Here is a 23,184-nt window from a genome sequence, read left to right as displayed (position 1 = left end):
TGATGCTTTTATTTCAACTAGTCATATGGTCTTAGCTGATATTTATACTTTTCTTCTTCCATTATCCATTCCATATTCCTTTTGCCTCAGCAGACATCTTAGCTCAGACATATTTCTCCTTGCTGCATTGTTTAGCAGCAACCCTCAACAAGCCAGAATCAATCACTCCAGTCATTATAGCAATGCTCCCTCCTCCCTCAACCACTGCTTATTCATTTGATGGTATGAGGGCCCAAGTGAACAGAGGGCAAATTCAACTCCCAGTTTAAGGGAACCATGGGTGTATCCCCTGGAGGAAATTTTCCTCCTTTGGGAACTAAGTCTTCTATGTTTGTGGAATACAAAGTCACTGAGATGGGAAGCAAAATTTTCACTACTAAAACTCTAGGGTTAATAGTAAGTGGAGCTACTCTTATTTCCACTCCTTGATTTCCTGGATATATAAATCCTGGTTATGGAGAGATTAGTTGCTGCTTTATAGCAACCACATAAGGTGTTCCCACCCAAATGGCATTGTAACTGAATCTTCAAAAGGCCACTCTACCATTCTATCTGGCCAACTGCTTCAGGGTATTGGGGATTTTCTAAGGCCAGTGAATTGCATGAGCAGGAACTCATTGCTGCACTTCATTGGCAATAAAGTGAGTCCAGTGGTCAGAAGTAATATTGCATCAAATACTATGATGATGAATAAGGTATTCTGAAAGTCCACAGAGAGTGATTTGGGCAGAAGCAGGAAAGATAAATCTGTATCCAGAATGTATTGGTCCATTCTCATGCTGCTATGAAGAAATACCCAAGACTGGGTAATTTATAAAGAAAAGAGGTTTAATTGGCTCACAGTTCTGCATTGCTAGGGAGGTCTCAAGAAACTTACAATCATGGCAGAAGGCAAAGGAGAAGCAGGAACCTTCTTCACAGGGTGGCAGGACAGAGTGAGCACAAGCAGGAGAAAAGCCAGATGTTTATAAAACCATCAGATGTCATGAGAACTCACTCACTATCATGAGAAGAGCACAGGGGAAACTGACCCATGACTCAATTACCTCCACCTCGTCTTGCCCTTGATATGTGGAGATTATGGGAATTACAATTCAAGATGAGATTTGGGTGGAGACACAAACCTAACCATATCATTCTGCCCATGGCCCCTCCTAAATCTCATGTCTCCTTCACATTTCAAAATCAATCATGTCTTCCCAATAGTTCCCCAAAGTCTTTATTCATTCCAGTACTAACCCAAAAGTCTAAGTCCAAAGTCTGATCTGAAACAAGGCAAGTCCCTTCTGCCTATGAGCCTGTAAAATCAAAAGCAAATTAGTTACTTCCCAGATACAATGGGGGTCACAGGAATTGGGTAAATACACCCATTCCAAATGGGAGAAATTGGCCAAGATGAAGGGGCTATGGGCCCCATCCAAGTCTGGAATTCAATAGGGTAGTCATTAAACCTTAAAGTTGCAAAATGATCTCTTTTGACTCCGTGTCTCATATCCAGGGCACACAGATGCAAGAAGTGGGCTCCCATGGCCTTGGGCAGCTCCTCCCCTCTGGCTTTGCAGGGTACAGCCCACCTATTCTCTGCTTTCACAGCTGGTGTGAGGTGTCTGAGGCTTTTCCAGGCACTTGGTGCAAGCTGTCAGTGGATCTACCATTCTTGGGTCTGGAATATGGTGGCCCTCTTTTCACAGCTCCACTAGGCAGTGCCCCAGTTGGGAGTCTATGTGGGAGCTCCTACCTCACATTTTCCTTCTGCACTGTCCTAGCAGAAGTTCTCCATGAGGGCTCCACCTCTGCATCAGACTTCTGCCTGGACATCCAGGCATTTCCATACATCTTCTGAAACCTAGGCAGAGGTTTCCAAACCTCAGTTATTGACTTCTATGTACCTACCGGCCCAACGCCATGTGTAAGGTGCCAAGGCTTGGGGTTTGCACCCTCTGAAGCAATGGCCTGAGTTGTACCTTGGCCCCTTGTAGCCACAGCTGGGATGCAGGGCACCAAGTCCTGAGACTACACAAAGCTGCAAGGCCCTGGGCCTGGCCCATGAAACCATTTTTCCCTCCTAGGCCTCCAGGCCTTTGATGGGAGGGGCTGCCATAAAGACCTATGACATGCCATGGAGATATTTTCCCCATTGTCTTGGTGATTAACATTTGGCTCCTGGTTAACTTATGCAAATTTCTGCTGCCAGTTTGAATTTCTCCTCCGAAAATGGGTTTGTCTTTTCTATTGCATCATTAGGCTTCAAATTTTTTGAACTTTTATATTCTGCTTCCCTTTTAAACATAAGTTTCAATTCCAAACCATATCTTTGTGAAAACATAAAACTGAATGCTTTTAAGAGCACCCAGCTCAACTCTTGAACATTTTGTTGCTTAGAAATTCCTTCTGCCAGAAACCCTAAATCATCTCTCTCAAGTTCAAAGTTCCACAGATCTAGGGCAGAGGCAAAATGAGCCAGTCCCTCTGCTGAAACATAGCAAGAGTCACCTTTATTCCAGTTCCCAACGAGCTCCTCATCTCCCTCTGAGACCACCTCAGCCTGGACTTTATTGTCCCTATCACGATCAGCATTTTTGTCAAAACCATCAACAAGTCTCTAGGAAGTTTCAAACTTTCTCAAATCTTCATGTCTTCTTCTGAGCCCTCCAAACTGTTCCAACTTCTGCCTGTTACCCACTTCCAAAGTTGCTTCCACATTTTCAGGTATCTTTACAACAGCACCCCACCACCTTAGTACCAATTTACTGCATTAGTCCATTTTCATACTGCTATAAAGAACTTCCTGAGGCTGAGTAATTTATAAAGGAAAGAGGTTTCATAGACTAACACTTCAGCATGGCTGTGGAGGTCTTTGGAACCTTACAATCCTGGTTGAAGGCAAAGGGAAATCAAAACACCTTCTTCACAAGGTGGCGGGAAAGAGAAGTACAACCAGGGAAGTTACAGATGCTTTTAAAACCATCAAATCTCGTGAGAACTCGCTCTCATGAGGACAGCATGGGGGAAACCACACCTGTGATTCAATTACCTCCGCCTGATCCCACCCTTGACACATGGGGATTATGGGGATTACAATTCAAGATGAGATATGGGTGGGGACACAAAGCCTAACCATATCACAGAGTAAGTGTATATTCAAGTGAGAATGAGTGCTGTTCCTTCCACAGTTGAAGTAGTCCAGTGTAATCAAACTGCCAATAGTGGCCAGCTGGTCCCTGGATAATTCTGCCATATTGAAGGCTAGGTGTTGTTCTCTGCTGTTGGCAGGCTGGAAAATCTGCTATTCTATAGTTGCATTCCCTTTAGTGCATGGAAATCTGTGTTGCTGAGAACATACCTAACCCCTATCCTTGCTGCTCTGGCCACTTTATCCATAAGCACACTGAGCAAGGACAAAGGTGGCTGGGGAGAACCAAAGGGAAGTTCACCAAACTTGTCTACCCAATTACTGAGTTCATCCTGACTAAGGCTGCTCTTTGGTGAGCATTCATACAGGACACAAATATATTTATGTTCTGCCTACTTGGAAAGATCCATCCACATATCTCTTCCCCAGATTGCTTTGTCACTGGGCTACCAATTGTGTTCCTTCCAAGTCTTTGAGAGTCTAGTCAAACCATTAATCCTCATCCATTAATCAGGATACCTCTTCTTCCAGGCCAAATGAGCAAGTGTGTACAACCCACTGGGAGGCCTTCCCTTCACTGCTGTTCCTTCAAAGCCACCCAGAAGTGGGGCTGTAGAACTGTCAATATCTACATTCAGGTAATGCCAACATATCATATAAAATCTTCTGAAAACTAGGCCCAAATTTTCTAGCCAACTTAAGTAGAAAGGGAATTTTATAAGAAGTTATAAAATGGCTTGCCAAGTAAATGAGAAACTTGAAAAGACAGACTTAAGGCTAAGCTTCCAGGAATGACAGAACCAGGCCACCAAGGAAGCCAATACCTCTGCCACGACCAAAATGCTGTAAAATCAGGAAGACTCCAGGTGAAATTGGAAACCATCACTTTAGATAGTGGACACAGAACCATGCCACCTTTGTCACAATCCACTCCAGCAAAATGTATCTTCTATCCTCTGCCTCCCAATAGCCATGAAGCCAGGAATAAGGCACTGGAGCCTCTACTACAGTTACTACAGAAAAATCAAATACTTTCATGGCCATTCCTTGCCACGAAAGAAACAGAAATATGAGTCTGGTCTCATGAGGTTTCATTTTATTTCCATTTTCCAAACCTCATACAGGTACCTCTAATTGAATGAACCTAAATTACATCCAGAACTCTGGAAAATGGAAAATGTAGGGATGCTGAGTTTATGCTAATGAGGTGACTCAGGGTGGGGCCCCCTAGATAGCCTTGGAATGCGGCTGATCACCAGAATGACCAAGTAATTAGAGGGTTGGAACTTTCAGTCCCACCTCCCAATCTCCAGGAAGGCGAAGGGTGGGCATGCACTTAAACTCCATACAAATTTGAATAACATGATTAGATGGGCTTCTGGTCTGCCAAAGAAGCCCGTGGAATTGCTGTGAGGTAGCACATCCTGGAGACAGCCTGGAAGCTCTACTGCCCTATCCATACTTTGCCCTCTACATCCTTTATAATTAATCAGTAAATGTAAGTGGAGTGTTTCTCTGAGTTCTCGTGAGCCATTCTAGCAAACTATTGAAGCAAGGAAGGGGTCATGGGAATCCCCAATATACAGCCAGTCAATCAGAAGTCCTGGATTTGCAATTGGCATCTGAAGTGGGAAAAGTCCTGTGGCACTGAGCCCTTAAGCTGTGAGGTCTGCACTAATTCCAGACAGATAATGTCAGAATTGAATTGAACTGTGGGACACCCAGCTGGTGTTGGTGAGGGAAAAACTTGCACATCTGGTGTCAGAAGTGTTCTGTGAGAGAGTATGGAGAAACACTCTACAGTATGCAGTTTTCTCAGAGGATGTAAGTCACTCCTTAACTTAGAAACTTCCTAAGCAACATGACCCTCCTGCTTTCTCTTCCTCCTTAGATGTGGAGTGGGGGTTATGAGTTGAGGTCCAGGGCCAGAATAGAGAAGCAATTTCAATCCTATGGAACCACAAGAAGAAAGCTTTCTTGGAGGGTTTCTTGGAGAATTCTGTGTTCTGCCTAACAGAATTTTGTTTAATCAAGAAATAATTCTTTGTGTGTTAAGCCTCTGAGGTTAGTAAATACAAAATGTTATAATTTTGTCTATCTTGACACAGATATGGATATGCAGTTGTAAAATGCTGATGTTTAAAAAAAAACTTAAAATAGGTGACATTCGTGGTTAGGCAGCAGGCAGTAGAAAACTGATATGAGAAGCTTTAAAGATAATCACTGTTGTCACCTTTGGTAACTGTTGCCTGCAGTAATCAGGGAAGTAGACCACGTACTTAATGCACTTGGTGGCCTAAGGGGGAACAGGTTAGAAAACAGAAACTTAGTAATGTGTGTTAGTTGTTATTGATTGTGATTGACAAGAAATTACAAGAAATAAATGTATTCAAGAAGGAATTGCCTGGTTTGCAAATAAGCCTTTCAGAAATGCAGGTGGTGTTGCAAAGATAGAAAAGTCTACAGTTTTTTCAATCCCAGATTTTCTTCTCCCAGAAATAGAGAAGGATTTTGAGAGTCAAGGGCCCACAGTGACACAAAGTAAAGACCAGCCTAAGAGTATGGTACTTTGTAGAACCCTTCAGAAAAAAAAAAAAGGAAAAGAAAAGAAACTCAGAGCAAAAATTAGTGCCTTAAGGATGTGGCCTTCTCATCCATTTCCCAGCTGGTGACCACTGTTACACAAAGAGAGAGAGATGGGGTATTTGTGAAAAGCAAAAAAGTCAAGTACATTTGAAAGTCATGGCTCAAAAAACTTAGATAGTGTTACTCTCTTATACAACTGACTAGAAGTAAATAGATGCTAATTAAGTAAGTGATAGGTGCTGAATGAGAGTGAGAATGTATTTTTTAATGTTATAAACAGGAAGCACAATAATTAACCTAACCTTTTCATGGATTCTATGTCCAGAGCAGCAGTTCTCTATTTCACCCAAGTTGAATGCTTAAGTGATTACAATTTCTCCTTTTATGCAGAGAATGAATAAATCATCAGTGTGCAGTTATCCACCCTCCCCTCCCCTATGACAAGGACTGAGCTACTATGTCTCCTGCACCTCTGATTAGCGTGTGTGAAATAGAAATGTAAATACTATACTTCAGATATATTATGAGTAAAATAGGCCTCATCAACTGGCCAAAGACCTCAGACTCAATGTATAACATTGCTTCTGCTGGGCGCAGTGGCTCACGCCTTGTAATCCCAACACTTTGGGAGGCTGAGGTGGGCGGATCACTTGAGGTCAGGAATTTGAGACCAGCCTGGCCAACATGGTGACACCCTGTCTCTACTAAAAATACAAAAATAAGCCAGGCATGGTGGTGGGTGCCTGTAATCCCAGCTACTCGGGAGGCTAAGGCAGGAGAATCACTTGAACCCGGGAGGCAGAGGTTGCAGTGAGCCAAGATCATGCCATTGCACTCCAGCCTGGGCAACAGGAGCGAAACTCCATCTCAAAAAAAAAAAAAAAAAAAGCAAAAACAAACAAACAAAAAAAACATTGCTTCCAAGTGAAAATGTACACTGAGAACCAAACATCGACCTGCAACAAATTTTGCAAATTAAGTCTTTTGGAATCTGTGCCTATTCTAGCTTTCCAGCTAGAAAAGAGGGCAGAGAGAAGAGGTGAGGGACAGGTGCAATCTGATGGTTCAGACAGAAGAAAGGAGTCCCTTCCTACTGATAGGAGCCACAGGAAGCTAGACAGGAGTCAGGACAAACATGACATATGCAGAAACTGGTGGTTAAACTGATGCATTTATGAAGTAACTTGGTTTTGAAAATGTGGCAAAATACATAGGAAGGCAAGCGAGTCTCCATCTCATCCAAATCTGGGAACCATAGACACATCGCCTTTTGTGCAAGAGTTAGAGCAAGACCCTTTCTCAGGGACAAATTAAAAAGTTTGATGGTCTCATAGAGAGGATGTTACTTGGAATCTTTACTGTTCAACTCACTGAGTCTCTCTTAGTCCTGCTGACACTTTAAATCAATGCTTCTAATAGAAATACAGTGCAAATCTCAAAGGTAACTTTAATTTCCTAGTTGCCATATTTTAAAAAGTCAAAAGAAACAGACAAAATTAATTTTAATAATATGTCTTATTTAACTCAATATATCCAAAATATTATTTCAAGACATAAGTAACATAAATATTAATATTTTATATTCTATTTTTCATATCTCTTCGCTCTCACTGGCTGTGATGCTCTAGAGTTTAGAGAAAAGCCCTAAAAGAATTGAGAGCTTTTGAGAAGCAGAAATTGGAATATATATCTTAAATGTGTCTCAAAAAACATGTTTTCAACATTTGAAAAGGGCTTCTCGTAGTTTTATTCAAATGTTGACTGACATGAGTCAATGTATACATCCAAATCAAAGTGATTAAACAAAATATAACCAAAATAGTGCATATCATATGACTCCATATACAAAACACAACACAGGTAAAACTAATCTATGCTATTAGGAAGAGGACAGTGGCCACCCTCGGGGAGGGGTATGACTTAAAGGAACACAAAAGGGCTTCTAGGGTATTGGTGATATTCTATGGCTTTATCCAAATGCTGGTTAGATGAGTGAGTTCAGTATTAAACATTTATCAAGCTGTTCACTTGTGATATGTGATAACTTAGTGCATATATGTATGTGTGTGTCTGTATATGCACATATGTATGTATAGACATATACACACATATATATATTTATAACACACAAGTATACCTTGGAGATATTGCAGGTTAAGTTCCAGACCACTGCAAAAAAAGTGAATATTGCAAATATTTTGGGTCACACAAACATTTTGGTTTCCCAGTGCATATAAAAGTTATGTTTATACTGTATACTGTAGCCTACTAAGTGTGCAATAGCATTATGCCTGAAAAAAACAAAGTACATACCTTAATTTTAAAATACTTTATTGCTAAAACATAAAAGCCAATTATCATCTGAGTCTTCAGTGAATCATAATCATTTTGCCAGTTTCACTTCCATATTAAAGGCTGATGGCCGATCAGGGTAGTAGTTGTTGAAGGTTGGAGTGGCTGTGGCAATTTCTTAAAATAAGGTAACAATAAAGTTTGCTTCATCAATTGACTCTCACAAAAGATTTCTCCACAGCATGTGGTGCTGTTTGATAGTAATTTGCCTACAGTAGAACTTCTTTCAAAATTAGAGTCAATCTTCTCAAACCCTGCTGCTGCTTTATCAACTAAGTTTATGTAATATTCTAAATCCTTTATCAACTAAGTTTATGTAATATTCTAAATCCTTTGTTGTCATTTCAACAACGTTCACAGCATCTTCACCAGAAATAGATTCCATCTCAAGAAACCACATTTTTTGCTCATCTATTCAAGTTTTATCATGAGATTGCAGCAATTTAGCCATATCTTAGGCTCCACTACTAATTCTAGCTCTCTTGCTATCTCACCACATCTGCAGTGACTATCTCCACTGAAGTCTTGAACCCCTCAAAGTCATCCAGGAGGGTTGGAATCAACTTCTCCCAAGCTCCTGCTAATGTTGATATTTTGACCTCCTCCCGTGAATCATGAATGTTCTCAATGGCATCTCAAATGGTGAATCCTTTCCAGAGGTTTTCTATTTATTTTGCCCAGATCCATTGAGGAGTCACTATCTGTGGCAGCTATAGCCTGACAAAATGTATTTCCTAGATGATAAGATTTTAAAGTTGGAATTACTCCTTGATCTGTGGGCTGCAGAATGGATGCTGTGTTAGCAAGCACTAAAACAACAGGAATTTCCTTTACATCACTATCAGTGTCCTTGGGTGACCTTGTGCATTGTCAATGAACAGGATTACTTTGAAAGGAATCTTTTCTTTTTTTCTGAGCAGCAGGTTGTGGGCTTAAAATCTTCAGTAAACCATACTGTAAATAGATGTGCTTAATCCAGGCTTTGTTGTTCAATTCATAGAGCACAGGCAGAGTAGATACAGCACAATTCTGAAGGGCCATAGGATTTTTTAGAATGGTGAATGGGTACTGCATGCAACTTAAAATCATCAGCAGCATTAGCCCCCAGCCGGAGAGTCAGCCTGTTCTTTGAGCCTTTGAAGCCAGGCTTTTACTCCTCTCTAGCTGTGAAAGTCCTGTCTTCTTAAAATAGAAGACTGTTTTATCTACACTGAAAATCTGTTGATTAATGCAGCCATCTTTATCAATTATCTTAGGTAGATCTTGCAGATAACTTGCTGCAACTTCTCCATCAGCACTTGCTGCTTCACCTTGCACTTTTATAGTATGTTATAGAGATGGCTTCTTTCCTTAAACCCCAGGAACCAATCTCTGCTAGCTTCCAACTTTTCCTCTGCAGCTTTCTCACCTTCCTCAGCCTTCATAGAGTTGAAGAGTTAGGGCCTTGCTCTGGATTAGGCTTTGGCTTACGGGAATGTTGTGGCTGGTTTGATCTTCTATCCAGACCACTCAAACTTTCTCCATATCAGCAATGAAACTGTTTTGCTTTCTTATCATTCATGTGTTCACTGAAGTAGCACTTCTAATTTCCTTCAAAAACTTTTAATTGCATCCACCACTTAGCTAATTGTTTAGTACAAGAGACCTAGCTTTTGGCCTATCTCGGCTTTTGACATGCCTTCCTCACTAGGCTTTATCCTTTCTAGCTTTTGATTTAAAGTGAGAGATGTGTGACTTTTCCTTTTGCTTGAACACACAGATGCCACTGTAGGGTTATTAATTGGCCTAATTTCAATTTTTCTGTGTCTCAGGGAATAGGGAGGCCTGTAGAGAGGGAAAGAGATGAGGGAACAGCCAGTTGGTGGAGCATTCAGAACACACACAACATTTATTAAGTCCACCATCTTATATGGGTACAGCTCACGTTACCCCAAAACAATTACAACAGTAACACCAAACATCTGTGATCACAGATCACCATAAAAAAATAATGAAAAAGTTCAAAATATTGTGTGAATTACCAAAATGTGACACAGACACACAAAGTGAGCACATGCTATTGGGAAAATGACACCTACAGACTTGTTCAATGCAAGGTTACCACAAACCTTCAATTTGTAACAAAACACGATATCTGTGAATTGCGATAAACAAGTTTATATATAACTGCAATAAGTAGTTAAAATATAAAATGATAAGGACTTGGACTCCTTTAATAAAATGTGATTATTTAAGATTTTTTAAATGGATACTAATAGCATGCCTTTTCTGGTATCATCTTCATAAACGACGACTAACTCAGATATTGTGGCACAAGATATTTCTGATGCATAAATTCTCTGGTTTTCGTTAGTGACTAAATCAAACATTAAACTTTTCTTTCACCTTCCTTAATTTGAACATCAACCATGTGATTTCAAAAAATTATATTTAAACATATATTTTGAAGTAGGATGCAGTAACTTAAAATTGTGTTTAAACATGTGAATGAAACATCTTTGCTTCAGGATGCATGTATTCCTTAGATACTAGCCTATTCCAGCTCTTTCTTATCTACACACGAAATATGCAGCACACTCCTTCAAAAATCTGTTTTTTATGAGAAACTTGGAACCTAGCACTTAACTAGAAACCACATTCGAAGAAAACATGCCATCTTATCAATAAGAATCATTATTACCTAACCTTTTTATATATGGTGCTTAAAAGTCATCCTAAACGTATAAAAGAAAGAGGCAAAAGGAAACCAAGAGAATAATGGATGATCAGAAAACATGGGATCAAGACTCAATGTTATCATCCTCGAACAACTTCATTTTCAATACCTCCCTTTTCCCCTCCCTGCCATTCCCCTCTCGGCAATGAGTCTGACACCATATAAAGCAAGAACCAACAGAAACCAACTTTAGAACCTGTCTTGCAGGGTGAAATAATAGGGTACCTTGTGGCTTGATTCTGCAGTTCTTATACAAAGCAATATAACTCATCAATTCAAGAGAAGTCTTATTTCAAATCACATTCATTCGATAGAGAAGTTGTCTTCTACTACCGACTTCAGGATGGAGCCCTCCCCATCCTCTCAGGATATCACATACATGCCTCTAGAACACCTCTGCTGTGTTTTAATAGTTAGTTTATTATCAGTCTTTTCCTACATAAACTATGAACTCTCAGAGAGAAAGGTATTTAACATAACACCTGGCACATAGTAAGTACTTCTTAAATTTAATTTAAAATCATTTTACTAAAATGAGAGAAAACTTCTACTCTAAGGAATAAATGCCAAGAGACCTAACTCTAAGGCTAAAGACATATTCACAAAGTATGGAGTCACCAGGAAGGTATATTTATAATGGCTAGAGTCAAAATTTCGGCATAAAAGAGTGGGAAGAGGATAGCCATGGACCTTTAAAATGAATACAAAGCTTTACTTTTTCAATTGCTCAAGAAGATGCATCTGGAGAGTCCTATGGAGTAAGACAATCACACTCTGGGGAGTGTGGTTTAGACTTGACCTGTACATTATAATATGCCCAGTGCTTGGAATGGTTCTAGGCCCATGGTAGGCACATGAGAAATAGTTTTTTAAATGAATGCACAAACGAATTAATTGTCCCAAAGCATTTCTACAGTATTCTCTGCTCTAAAATTGTCACCAGAAGGTTTCGTGTTCCAGCCTATCATAATCACCTGGAGTGCCTGTGATCCTGGCTAACATGGTGAAACCCCGTCTCTACTAAAAAATACAAAAAAATTAGCCAGGCGTGGTGGCAGGCGCCTGTAGTCCTAGCTAATCAGGAGGCTGAGGCAGGAGAATGGCGTGAACCCAGGAGGCAGAGGTTGCAGTGAGCCAAGATCTCACCACTGCACTCCAGCCTGGGCGACAGAGCGAGACTCCGTCTCAAAAAAAAAAAAACAACAAAAAAAAAAATTAGGAATCACCTATCATGGAAACTCACCTAGAAAGTTTATTTAAAATGTTTAAGGTCTGGGGTTGGGGCCAAGGGATCTGCATTTTTAACAAGCACCCCAGATGATTATGTTTCTGCTTCAAGCAGTCCATGAAACTATAGCCAGAAAAAGAGAGCAGTTTATATGCTTCCTGGGTCCCATTCTGGAATTTATCCATTCCAGAATTTGCCTTTAAATTCCAGAATGGAGGTCAGTCTAACATCACATAAGATGGACATCACTGTTCTTTAGGGTGCAGTCAAAAAAGTAGAAACAACATTAGTTGCTGTTTTAACAGAGAGACTTCAATACAGGGAATGGTTTAAACAAATATTAGAGGACTGAAAAGCAAAAGAGAACTCTCTGGTAGCATAGAAATAGTTACTGTAGATGGCAGCAACCACCCTCGGGCAGGGAGAGCAAAGAGAAGCAACTGGAATTATTAGAACCTGGAGACCTGGAATAGTGATCCTGCAGAGTGAGGACCCAGACCTCCAAGGAAATGTGCTGCCGGGCAGGCTCCTTCCTCCAATGTGCAGCACATTTCCTTGGAGATCTGGGTCCTCCCTCTGCAGGGTCGCTATGCCAAGGGAACCTAGATAACACATCACCAGACCACCCCGGATGAAACAACAGCATCCAAGAGAACAGACAACCTGGGCCATGTGTAATAAAGAACCTCTTCTGCTTGAACCAGCAGATCTGTTCACATAACCAGTGGTCCAAAGACATGTATCAGCTTTAGCATTTATCAACAAAAAGACGGGATGAATTTCAGTAAATGTAAAATAGTATGGTTCAGATGTGTAATTTGTAAATAGTAAAGCCTGTAGATTTTCTAGAACAGTGGTTTTCAAAGGGTGGTCCCTGAACCAGTAGCATCAGCATAACTGGGAACTTACTAGAAATTTAAAGTCTTGGGCTCACTCCAAACCTACTAAATCAGAAACTCCAGGGACAGGGCCAAGCAACCTGTGTTTTAACAAGCCAAGCCTGCCAGGTGATTCTCATGCACAGTAAACTTTGAGATCCACTGTCGTGATACATATCAAATTTTGGAACTGCAGCATCTTTACTAGATCCTTGATGCAAGGTTTATCAGGTTTTATGTATCATCAATCATTATCCTGCCACAAACAAAGATTAATAATCAAAGCTAAGCAGAGCACAAATTATAAAAGTTTTCTGCTTCCTTTGGAGCATGCAGATGTCTTCTCCCTCAGTATTTGTAGTTCTTTTCAGACTTGCCCTGTAGTATAAGGGACCCAATTTAAAAAAAAAATACTACTTTTCCATTTTATTTTTAGTAATAAGCTGGGTAATTATGTCCTCCTTTCTGGTTCCTGGAGCAATCCAACTTTTCATAGAACTTTAAGATGAACAAAGAAAATTCAGTTAAAAAGCATGGACATAAGGGAATCAACTTAGTAAAATTAATGTTCTGGAGAAGTCATAGCAAATAACTAGACTTAGGAGGATTAAACACATCATTGTGCTTCTTTTCTCTAACTGTCCATGTTATTTTCCATATTAACATTTTCCTCCATAGTTGTACAGAGAGGATAGAGTTGATATGTGAAAATGCCAGGATAAACCTAATCCCTAAAAGAGGCTTTCTAAATCAGAGTTAGAAACTCACTGGTGCCCAGGGGCCAAATTAGGCCAGCAGATATATTTTATTTGACACATATGCCATTTTGTTTAATTCTTTGTTTGTTATAAATATTTGCCAAAATTTCAAAACTAGGAGATTTCACATAGAAATCCAGAATTCTGGCTTTTCTTGATCCAGCAAATGGGCCCTGGCAAATACAACTGGAGTAAAACAGCAGCCACCCAGCAGAAGGGCACAGGCCTCCCCACCTGCCTCACTTCACGAATACTAGAGCTTGTGATTTCTGCCTTATATCCTATCCAAAGGGCTTCCAGACTGGGAAGAGGGTGTCTGTACTAGTCTGTTCTCATGCTGCTAATAAAGACATACCCGAGACTGGGTAATTTGTAAAGAAAAAGAGGTTTAATGGAGTCACAGTTCCACATGGCTGGGGAGGTCTCACAATCATGGCAGAAGGTGAAAGACATGTCTTACATGGCAGCAGGCAAGAGACATCACATGCGGGGGAACTCCCCTTTATAAAGCCATCAGATTTCATGAAACTTATTCACTATCACAAAAACATCATGGGAAAAACTCACCCCCATGATTCAATTACCTCCCACAAGGTCCCTCCCAAGACACGTGGGGATTATTACAATTCAAGGTGATATTTGGGTGAGGACAAAGAGACAAATCACATCATTCCAACCCAGCCCCTCCTAAATCTCATGTCCTCAGATTTCAAAACCAATCATGCATGATCATGATTTTACTTGAATTTATTTGTCACAAAACAGCATATGTGTCAAATAAAATATATCTGTGGGACTAATTTGGCTCCTGAGCAACTGTTTGTAACCTCTGATCTAGAAAGCCTTTTTTAAGGATTAGGTTTATCCTGGCATTTTCATGTATCAAACCCCCAGAGTCTTAACTCATTTCAGCAAGAACCCAAAAGTCCACAGACCAAAGTCTCATCTGAAACAAGGCAAGTCTCTTCCACCTATGAGCCTGTAAAATCAAAAGCAAGTTAGTTGCTTCCTAGATACAATGGAGGTACAGGTATTGGGTAAATACACCCATTCCAAATGGGAGAAATTGGCCAAAATGAAGGGGCTACAGGCCCCATGCAAGTCTGAAATCCAGCAAGGCAGTCAAAGCTTAAAGCTCCAAAATGATCTCCTTTGACACCATGCCTCACATCCAGGTCACACCAATACAAGAGGTGAGTTCCCATGGTCTTGGGCAGCTCCATCTCTGTGGCTTTGCAGAGTACAACCCCCTACTGGCTCCTTTCATGGGCTGGCATTGAGCATCTGTGGATTTTACAAGGATCATGGTGCAAGCTGTCAATAGATCTACCATTCTGGGGTCTGGAGGATGGTGGCTCCCTTCTCACAGTTCCACTAGGCAGTGCCCCTGTGGGGAGTCTGTGTGGGGGATTCAACCCCACACTTACCTTACACACTGCCCTAGCAGAGGCTCTCCATGAGGGCCCCATCCCTGCAGCAAGTTTCTGCCTGAACATCCAGGCATTTCCATACATCCTCTGAAAACTAGGCAGAGGTTCCCAAATCTCAATTCTTGACTTCTGTGCACTCAAAGACTCAACATCACATAAAAGCCGCCAAGGCTTGGGGCTTGCACCATCTGGAGCCACAGCCCAAGCTGCACCTTGGCCCCTTTTAGCCACAGCTGGAGTGGCTGGGACTCAAGGCACCAAGTACCTAGGCTGCACACAACACGGGGGCCCTGGGCCTGGCCCATGGAACCATTTTTTCCTCCTAGGCCTCCAGGCCTGTGATGGGAGAGGCTGCCACGAAGACATGCCCTGAAGACATTTTCCCCATTTTCTTGGCGATTAACATTCGGCTCTTCATTACCAATGCAAATTTCTGCAGCCTGCTTGAATTTCTCTTCAGAAAATGGGTTTTTCTTTTCTATAACATTATCAGGCTGCAAATTTTCTGAACTTTTATGCTTTGTTTCCTTTATAAAACTGAATTATTTTAAGACCACCCAAGTCACTTCTTGAACACTTTGCTGTTAAGACATTTCTTCTACCAGATACCCTAAATCATCTCTCTCAAGTTTAAAGTTCCACAAATCTCTAGGGCAAGGGAAAATGCTGCCAGTTTCTTTGCTAAAGCAGAACAAGAGTCACCTTTGTTCCAGTTACCAACAAGTTCCTTATCTCCACCTGAGATCACCTCAGCCTGAATTTCATTGTCAGCATCTTGGTCAAAGCCATTCAACAAATCTCTAGGAAGTTCCAAACTTTCCCACATCTTCCTGTCTTCTTCTGAGCACTCTAAACTGTTCCAACCTCTCCCTCATTCCCAGTTCCAAAGTCACTTCCACATTTTCAGGTATCTTTACAGCAGCACCCCACTCCTGGTACCAATTTACTGTATCAGTCTGTTCTCACACTGTTAATAAAGACATACCCAAGACTGGGCAATTTATAAAGAAAAAGAGATTTAATGGACTCACAGTTTTACATGGCTGGGGAGGCTTCACAATCATGGTGGAAGGCAAAAGGCACGTCTTACATGGCAGCAGGCAAGAGAGAGTGTGTGTCAGGGAACTCCCCTTTATAAAACCATCAGATCTCATGAGACTTATTCACTATCACAAGAACAGCATGGGAAAAGCCCACCCCCATGATTCAATTACCCCCCCTACTGGGTCCCTCCCATGACATAGGGGGATTATTACATTTCAAGGTGAGATTTTGGTGGCGACACAGAGCCAAAACATATCAATGCCTCCTGTCCCATTATACCAAACAGGCACCAAAAAGAAAATCTTATTGTACAGACCAGGCAGATCTAAACTTTCTCCGCCAGGGCAACTCCCATTGTGTAAAGCCTTCTCATTCACCTGAACCCTTGGCTCTCACCACTTGCCTGGCTCTCTCCCATACTTCCTGGCCTTTCCTCCTTTACTCTGCTTTTGGAACACTGCACAAATTTTTCAAGCCCTAAAAAATAAAAAATAAAAATAAATACATCCTTGACCCCAAGACTCTCTAGAGGTCACCATCCTTCTTGCCCTCACCCTTTCCCTTTCATCTCCACTTTCTCAGTCCCTGGCCACTCTCCAGTCTGCTACAATCCAGCTTCCTATTGAAAAACCCCACCATTCTATTGAAACTGCTCTGGCTGATGTTACTAATGGTTTCCTAATTCCCAAATCCAGTGGACTTGTTTGAGTCCCTCTCCCCCTACACTTTATTGTCCTTTCTTCAGCCTCCTCATCCTTCATGTGTCAGTTCAGGCCTCATTCTCTCCACTGAGGCTGCCCAGGCCCTCAGCTGGGTTGAGTGGCCCTCTGGGCCAGGTATCCCATGACATCCTGTTCTTGTCTCTACCATCCTCTCCACACATGGTATCACAACTATTGCTTACAATTCTGTCTTCTCCATTGAAAGTTAAAGCCTGTGCCTGTGCCTCATTCACCTTTGTATTACAGTGCCCACTACAGCAACTGGCACACAATAAGTATGTGATAAATATTGATTAATACATGAATGAATGAACCAACAATTAAGCCACCTCTAAGTTTGTTAAGAGTGAGAAGGTCTAAAATTCTTCCAAAAGTCTTTTGTCCCAGAGCAGTAGCTTTTTATCCAGGAGGATGCCTTACATAAAGCAAATTAAATCAGATAGGAGAGAAATGTATGTACTTTTCTCCTTTTCTTGCCGGACATTTAAAAGGGGTTGGATTAATAATGTCCTTCAGTATTTACTGGGATATTTAAAAGACGCCCTCCCAAAATATTTTAAAGCTCCAATTATACAATAATGAAAGTACTCAGAAAGACTTTGCACTTGAAAGGGAGAGGAAAACCGCACTAACAATGTAGTTCAGAGACTTGGAGCAATGGAAAAAACCTAAAAGAATAATTAGGGGGGATAGGAAAAAATGGCAGATAAGAGGCAGGACTAACTTGCAGTTCCCACTCAGACAGACAGAGCAACGTGTGGAGACCCACTTCATGAACTTTTGCTCCAAGAACTACCACAGGAACATACCAGGAAAGCAAGATAATCCATAGACCCTTTGAAGGAGATGGATTGTTGCTGCAGCCTCCGTGGGACAGCCACGAAAATGTAAGCCTGCTTGCTTTCTCAGCTAGGAGGCTTGTAGCTTGGGGCAAGTTCTCAGCCCTGATCACTGGCTGCCTGGAAATAAACTTGGTGCTGTTGGTGGGGCATGGTGGGAGTGAGACTGGCCTTTTGGGCTGTGGGATATGGATTTCTCCCGCTTCCATAGTGACCTGTGTGACACAGCAGAGACAGCCATGATCCCCCTGAGAACATAACTCCATTGGTCTGAGAACCAAACCCCTATCCCCCACAGCAGCCACAGAAAGCCCTGCCCAGGGAGAGTCTGAGCTCAGACACACATAACCCTGCCCCTACCTGATGGGCTTTCTCTACCCACCCTTGTAGCCTAAGACAAAGGACATAATCTCTTGGGAGCTCTATGTTCCCACCCACTGCGTGATCCTCCCTATATGACCAGAACTGCTGCATTCTTGAAAGTACCACCTCCTGGCTGGAGGCCATCCAACTCAAAACCAGCACATTTAACAAAAATACAACCAAGAACCCTCACAAAGTCCACTTCACTCCCCTGCTACCTCTACCAGAGTAGGTGCTGGTATCTACAGCTGAGAGACCTGAAGACAGATCACATCACAGGAATCTTTGTAGGTGGTCCCCAGTACTAGCCCAGAGTCTGGTAGCTCTGCTGGGTCGCGAGATCCAAAAGAGAAATAACTATCACTGCAGTTTGGCTCTCAGGAACCCCCATCCCTAGGGGAAAGAGGAGAGCACCACATCAAGGGAGCACCCTGTGGGGCAAAAGAATCTGAACAGCAGCCCTTGAGTCCCAGATCTTCCCTTTGACATAGTCCAAATGAAAAGGAACCAGAAAAACAATTCTGTTAATATGACAAAACAATGTTCTTTAACACCCCCCAGAAGATCACACTAGCTCACATGCAATGGATCCAAACCAAGATGAAATCTCTGAAATATCATAGAAAGAATTCAGAAGGTCGATTATTAAGCCGATCAAGGAGGCATCAGAGAACGGCGAAATCCAACTTAAAGAAATTTTTTAAAAAAGGATACAGGATATGAATGGGAAAACCTCCAGTGAAATAGATAGCATAAATAAAAAGCAATCACAACTTCTGGAAATCAAGGACACTTAGAGAAATGAAAAATGCACTAGAAAGTCTCATCAATAGAATCAACAAGCAGAAGAAAGAACTTCAGAGCTTGAAGACAAGGTTTTCAAATTAACCCAATCCAACGGAGACAAAGAAAAAAATTTTTTTAATGAACAAAGCCTCCAAGAAGTTTGGGATTATGTTAAATGACCAAACCTAAGAATAATTGGCGTTCCCAAGGAAAAAGAGAAATCTAAAAGTTTAGAAAACATATTTGAGACGATAATTGAGGGAAACTTCCCTGGCCTTGCTAGAGATCTAGACATTCAAATACAAAAAGTTCCAAAAATACCTGGGAAATTCATTGCAAAAAGATCATCACCTAGGCACATAGTCATCAGGTTATGTAAAGTCAAGACAAAGGAATCTTAAGAGATGTGAGGCAAAAGCACCAAGTAACCTGTAAAGGAAAACCTATCAGATAGCAGCCAATTTCTCAGCAGTGATCCTACAAGCTAGAAGGGATTGGGGTCCTATCTTTAGCCTCCTTAAACAAAACGATTATCAGCCAAGAATTTTGTATCCAGTGAAACTAAGCTTCATAAATGAAGGAAAGATACAATCTTTTTCAGATAAACAAATGCTGAGAGAATTCGCCATTACCAAGCCAGCACTACAAGAACTGCTAAAAGGAACTCTAAATGAAATAGCATGATGAATAGAATAGTCCCTCACATATCAATATTAACATTGAATGTATATAATGGCCTAAATGCTCCAGTTAAAAGATACAGAATGGCAGAATGAATAAGAACTCACCAATCAAATATCTGCTGACTTCAAGAGACTCACCTGACACATGAGGACTCACATAAACTTAAGGTAAAGGGGTGGAAAAAGATATTCCAACACCAAAAGCAATCAATCAGGGGTAGCTACTCTTATATCAGACAAAACAAACTTTAAAGCAACAGCAGTTAAAAAAGACAATGAAGGACATTATATAATGATAAAATGACTAGTCCAACAGAAAAATACCACAATCCTAAATATACACACACCTAACACTGAAGTTCCCAAATGTATAAAACAATTACTACTAGACCTAAGAAATGAGATAGACAGCAACACAACAATAGCAGGGGACTTCAATACTCCACTGACAGCACTAGAAAGGTCAGCAAGACAGAAAATCAACGAAGAAACAACGGACTTAAACTATACCCTAGAACAAATGGACTTAACAGATATTTACAGAACATTCTACGCAACAACTGCAGAACATACATTCTATTCGTGAGCACAGGGAACATTCTCCAAGATAGACCATATGATAGGCCACAAAGCAAGTCTCAAAAAATTTAAGAAAATCAAAATTATACCAAGTACTCTCTCAGACCACAGTGGAATAAAATTGAAAATCAACTCCAAAAGGAACCCTCAAAACCATGCAAATGTGTGGAAATTACAAACCTGCTCCTGAACAATCACTGGGTCAACAATGAAATCAAGATGGAAATTAAAAAGTTCTTTGAACTGAACGATAATAGTGGCACAACCTATCAAAACCTCTGGGATCCAGCAAAGTGGTGCTAAGAGGAAATATCATAGGATCGAATGCCTTCATCAAAAAGTGTGAAAGAGGACAAACAGACAATCTTAGGACATACCTCAAGGAACTAGAGAAACAAGAACAAACCAAATCCAAACCCAGCAGAATAAAAGAAATAAGGAAGATCAGGGCAGCACTGAATGAAATGAAATGAAACTGAAACAAACAAACAAAAATACAAAAGATAAATGAAACAAAAACTGTTTCTTTGAAAAGATAAATAAAACTGATAGACCGTTAGCAAAATTAATCAAGAAAAGAAAAGAGAAGTTCCAAATAAGCTCAATTAGAAATGGAACGGGAGATATTACAACCAATACCACAGAAATACAACAGATCATTCAAGGCTACTACCAACACCTTTATGTGCATAAACTAGAAAACCTAGAGGAGATGGATAAATTCCTGAAAATATACAAACCTCCTAGATTAAACCAGGAAGAAACAGAAACTCTGAACAGACCAATAACAAGCAGCAAGGTTGAAATGAAAATTTAAAAGTTACCAAGAAAAAAGGTCCAGGACCAGATGGATTCATACCTGAATTCTATCAGACATTCAAAGAAGAATTGGGACCAATCCTATGGACACTATTCCAAAAGACAGAAAAAGAGGGAATCTTCCCTAAATCATTCTGTGAAGCCAGTATCACCCTAATACCAAATCCTCCCCAAATCATTCTATGAAGCGAGTATCACCCTAGTACCAAAACCAGGAAAGGACATAACAAAAAAAGAAAACTACAGACCAATATCCCTGATAAACATAGATGTAAAAATTCTCAACAAAATACTAGCTAACCAAATCCAACAGCATATCAAAAAGATAATCCACCATGATCAAGTGGCTTTCATCCCAGGGATGCAGGGATGGTTTAATAATCCACAAGTCAATAAATGTGATATAAACAGAATTAAACATATAAACAGAATTTAAAATGAAAATCACATGGTCATCTCAATAGACACAGAAAAAGCATTTGGAAAAAACCCAGCATCCCTTTATGACTAAAACCCTCAGCATAATCGGCATAAAAGGAACAAACTTTAAGGTAATAAAAGTCATCTATGACAAACCCATAGTCAACATCATACTGAACGGGGAAAAGTTGAAAGCATTCTCCTGAGAACTGGAACAAGTCAGGGATGCCCACTTTCACCACTTTTTTTCAACATAGTACTGGAAGTCCTAGCCAGAGCAACAAGACAAGAGAAAGGAATAAAGGGCATCCAAATTGGTAATGAGGAAATTAAACTGTCTCTGCTGATGACATGATCATATACTTGGAAAACCCTAAAGACTCATTCAAAAAGTTCCTCAAACTGGTAAATAAATGCAGCAACATTTCAGGATAAGAAATTAACATGCACAAATCAAAGCCCTGCTATACACCAACAGCAACCAAGCTGAGAATCAAATCAAGAACCCAACCGCTGGCTGGGCATGGTGGCTCACGCCTGTAATCCCAACACTTTGGGAGGCCAAGGCGGGGTGAATCACGAGATCAGGAAATCGAGACCATCCTGGCTAACACGGTGAAACCCCGTCTCTACTAAAAATCAAAAAAAAAAAAAAAATTAGCCAGGCATGGTGGCAGGCACCTGTAGTCCCAGCTACTTGGGAGGCTGAGGCAGGAGAATGGCATGAAGCCGGGAGGCGGAGCTTGCGGTGAGACGAGATCGCACTACTGCACTCCAGCCTGGGTGACAGAGCAAGACTATGTCTCAAAAAAAAAAAAAAAAAAAAAAAGAACCCAACCACTTTTATAATAGCTGCAAAAATTAAAATAGAATACTTAGAAATATACTTAACCGAGGAGGTGAAAGACCTCTACAAGCAAAACTACAAAACACTGCTGAAAGAAATCATAGGTGACAAAAACAAATGGAAACATCCCATGCTCATGGATTGGTAGAATCAATACTGTGAAAATGAACATACTGCTAAAAGCAACCTACAAATTCAATGCAATCCCCATCAAAATACCACCACCATTCTTCACAGAGCTAGAAAAAAAATCTGAAAATTCATAAGGAAACAAAAAAGAGCCCACATAGCCAAAGTAAGACTAAGCAAAAAGAACAAATCTGGAGGCATTACATTACCTGACTTCAAACTACACTATAAGGCCATAGTCACCAAAACAGCATGGTACTGGTATAAAAACAGGCATATAGATCAATGTAACAAAATAGAGAACCCAGAAATAAAGCCAAATACTTAGTCAACTGATCTTCGACAAAGCAAATAAAAACATAAAGTGGAGAAAGGACACCCTATTCAACAAATGGTGCTGGGATAATTGGCAAGCCACATGTAGAAAAATGAAACTGGATCTTTTAAAGTGGCATAGTAATGTGGCTGGCAAGATGGCCAAATACGAACAGTTCCAGTTTGCAGCTTCCAGCGAGATCAATGCAGAAGGCCAGTGATTTCTGCATTTCCAACTGAGGTACCTGGCTCATCTCATTGGGACTGGTTAGACAGTGGGTGTGGCCCACAGAGGGTAAGCCGAAGCAGGGTGAGGCATTGCCTAAGCCGGGAAGCACAAGGTGTCAGGGAACTCCATCCTCTAGCCAAGGGAAGCCATGAGGGACTGTGCTGTAAGGAATGGTGCACTCTGGCCCCAGATACTATGATATTCCAACAGTCTTTACAACCCACAAACCAGGAGATTCTCTCAGGTGCCTATGCCACCAGTGCCCTGGGTATCAAGCACAAAACGGGGCAACCCTTTGAACAGACACCAAGCTAGCTGCAGGAGTTTC

At 40.9% G+C, this 23,184-nt stretch overlaps 1 long non-coding RNA gene across 1 annotated transcript in view, besides 1 other annotated feature; it reads right to left on the bottom strand.

The window, feature by feature from the left end:
• Positions 1 to 23,184, bottom strand: part of LOC101927947 (uncharacterized) — a 469,997-nt gene that overhangs the window by 415,852 nt on the left and 30,961 nt on the right. The gene's annotated exons all lie outside the window — the stretch shown is intronic.
• Positions 1,778 to 1,941: a silencer, noted in NCBI's record as "fragment chr4:154802179-154802342 (GRCh37/hg19 assembly coordinates)". NCBI's record gives its function as "represses an EF-1alpha promoter that drives an FKBP-Casp9 reporter gene in an ReSE screen in HepG2 liver carcinoma cells {active_cell/tissue: HepG2}" and the evidence as "EXISTENCE:reporter gene assay evidence [ECO:0000049][PMID:32094911]".

The sequence above is a fragment of the Homo sapiens genome, chromosome 4, assembly GCF_000001405.40.
Source record: "Homo sapiens chromosome 4, GRCh38.p14 Primary Assembly".
In the NCBI taxonomy this organism is placed as follows: domain Eukaryota; kingdom Metazoa; phylum Chordata; class Mammalia; order Primates; family Hominidae; genus Homo; species Homo sapiens.
The sequence above is the reverse complement of the archived record's forward strand: the minus strand, read 5'-3'. Positions and strand labels throughout refer to the sequence as shown.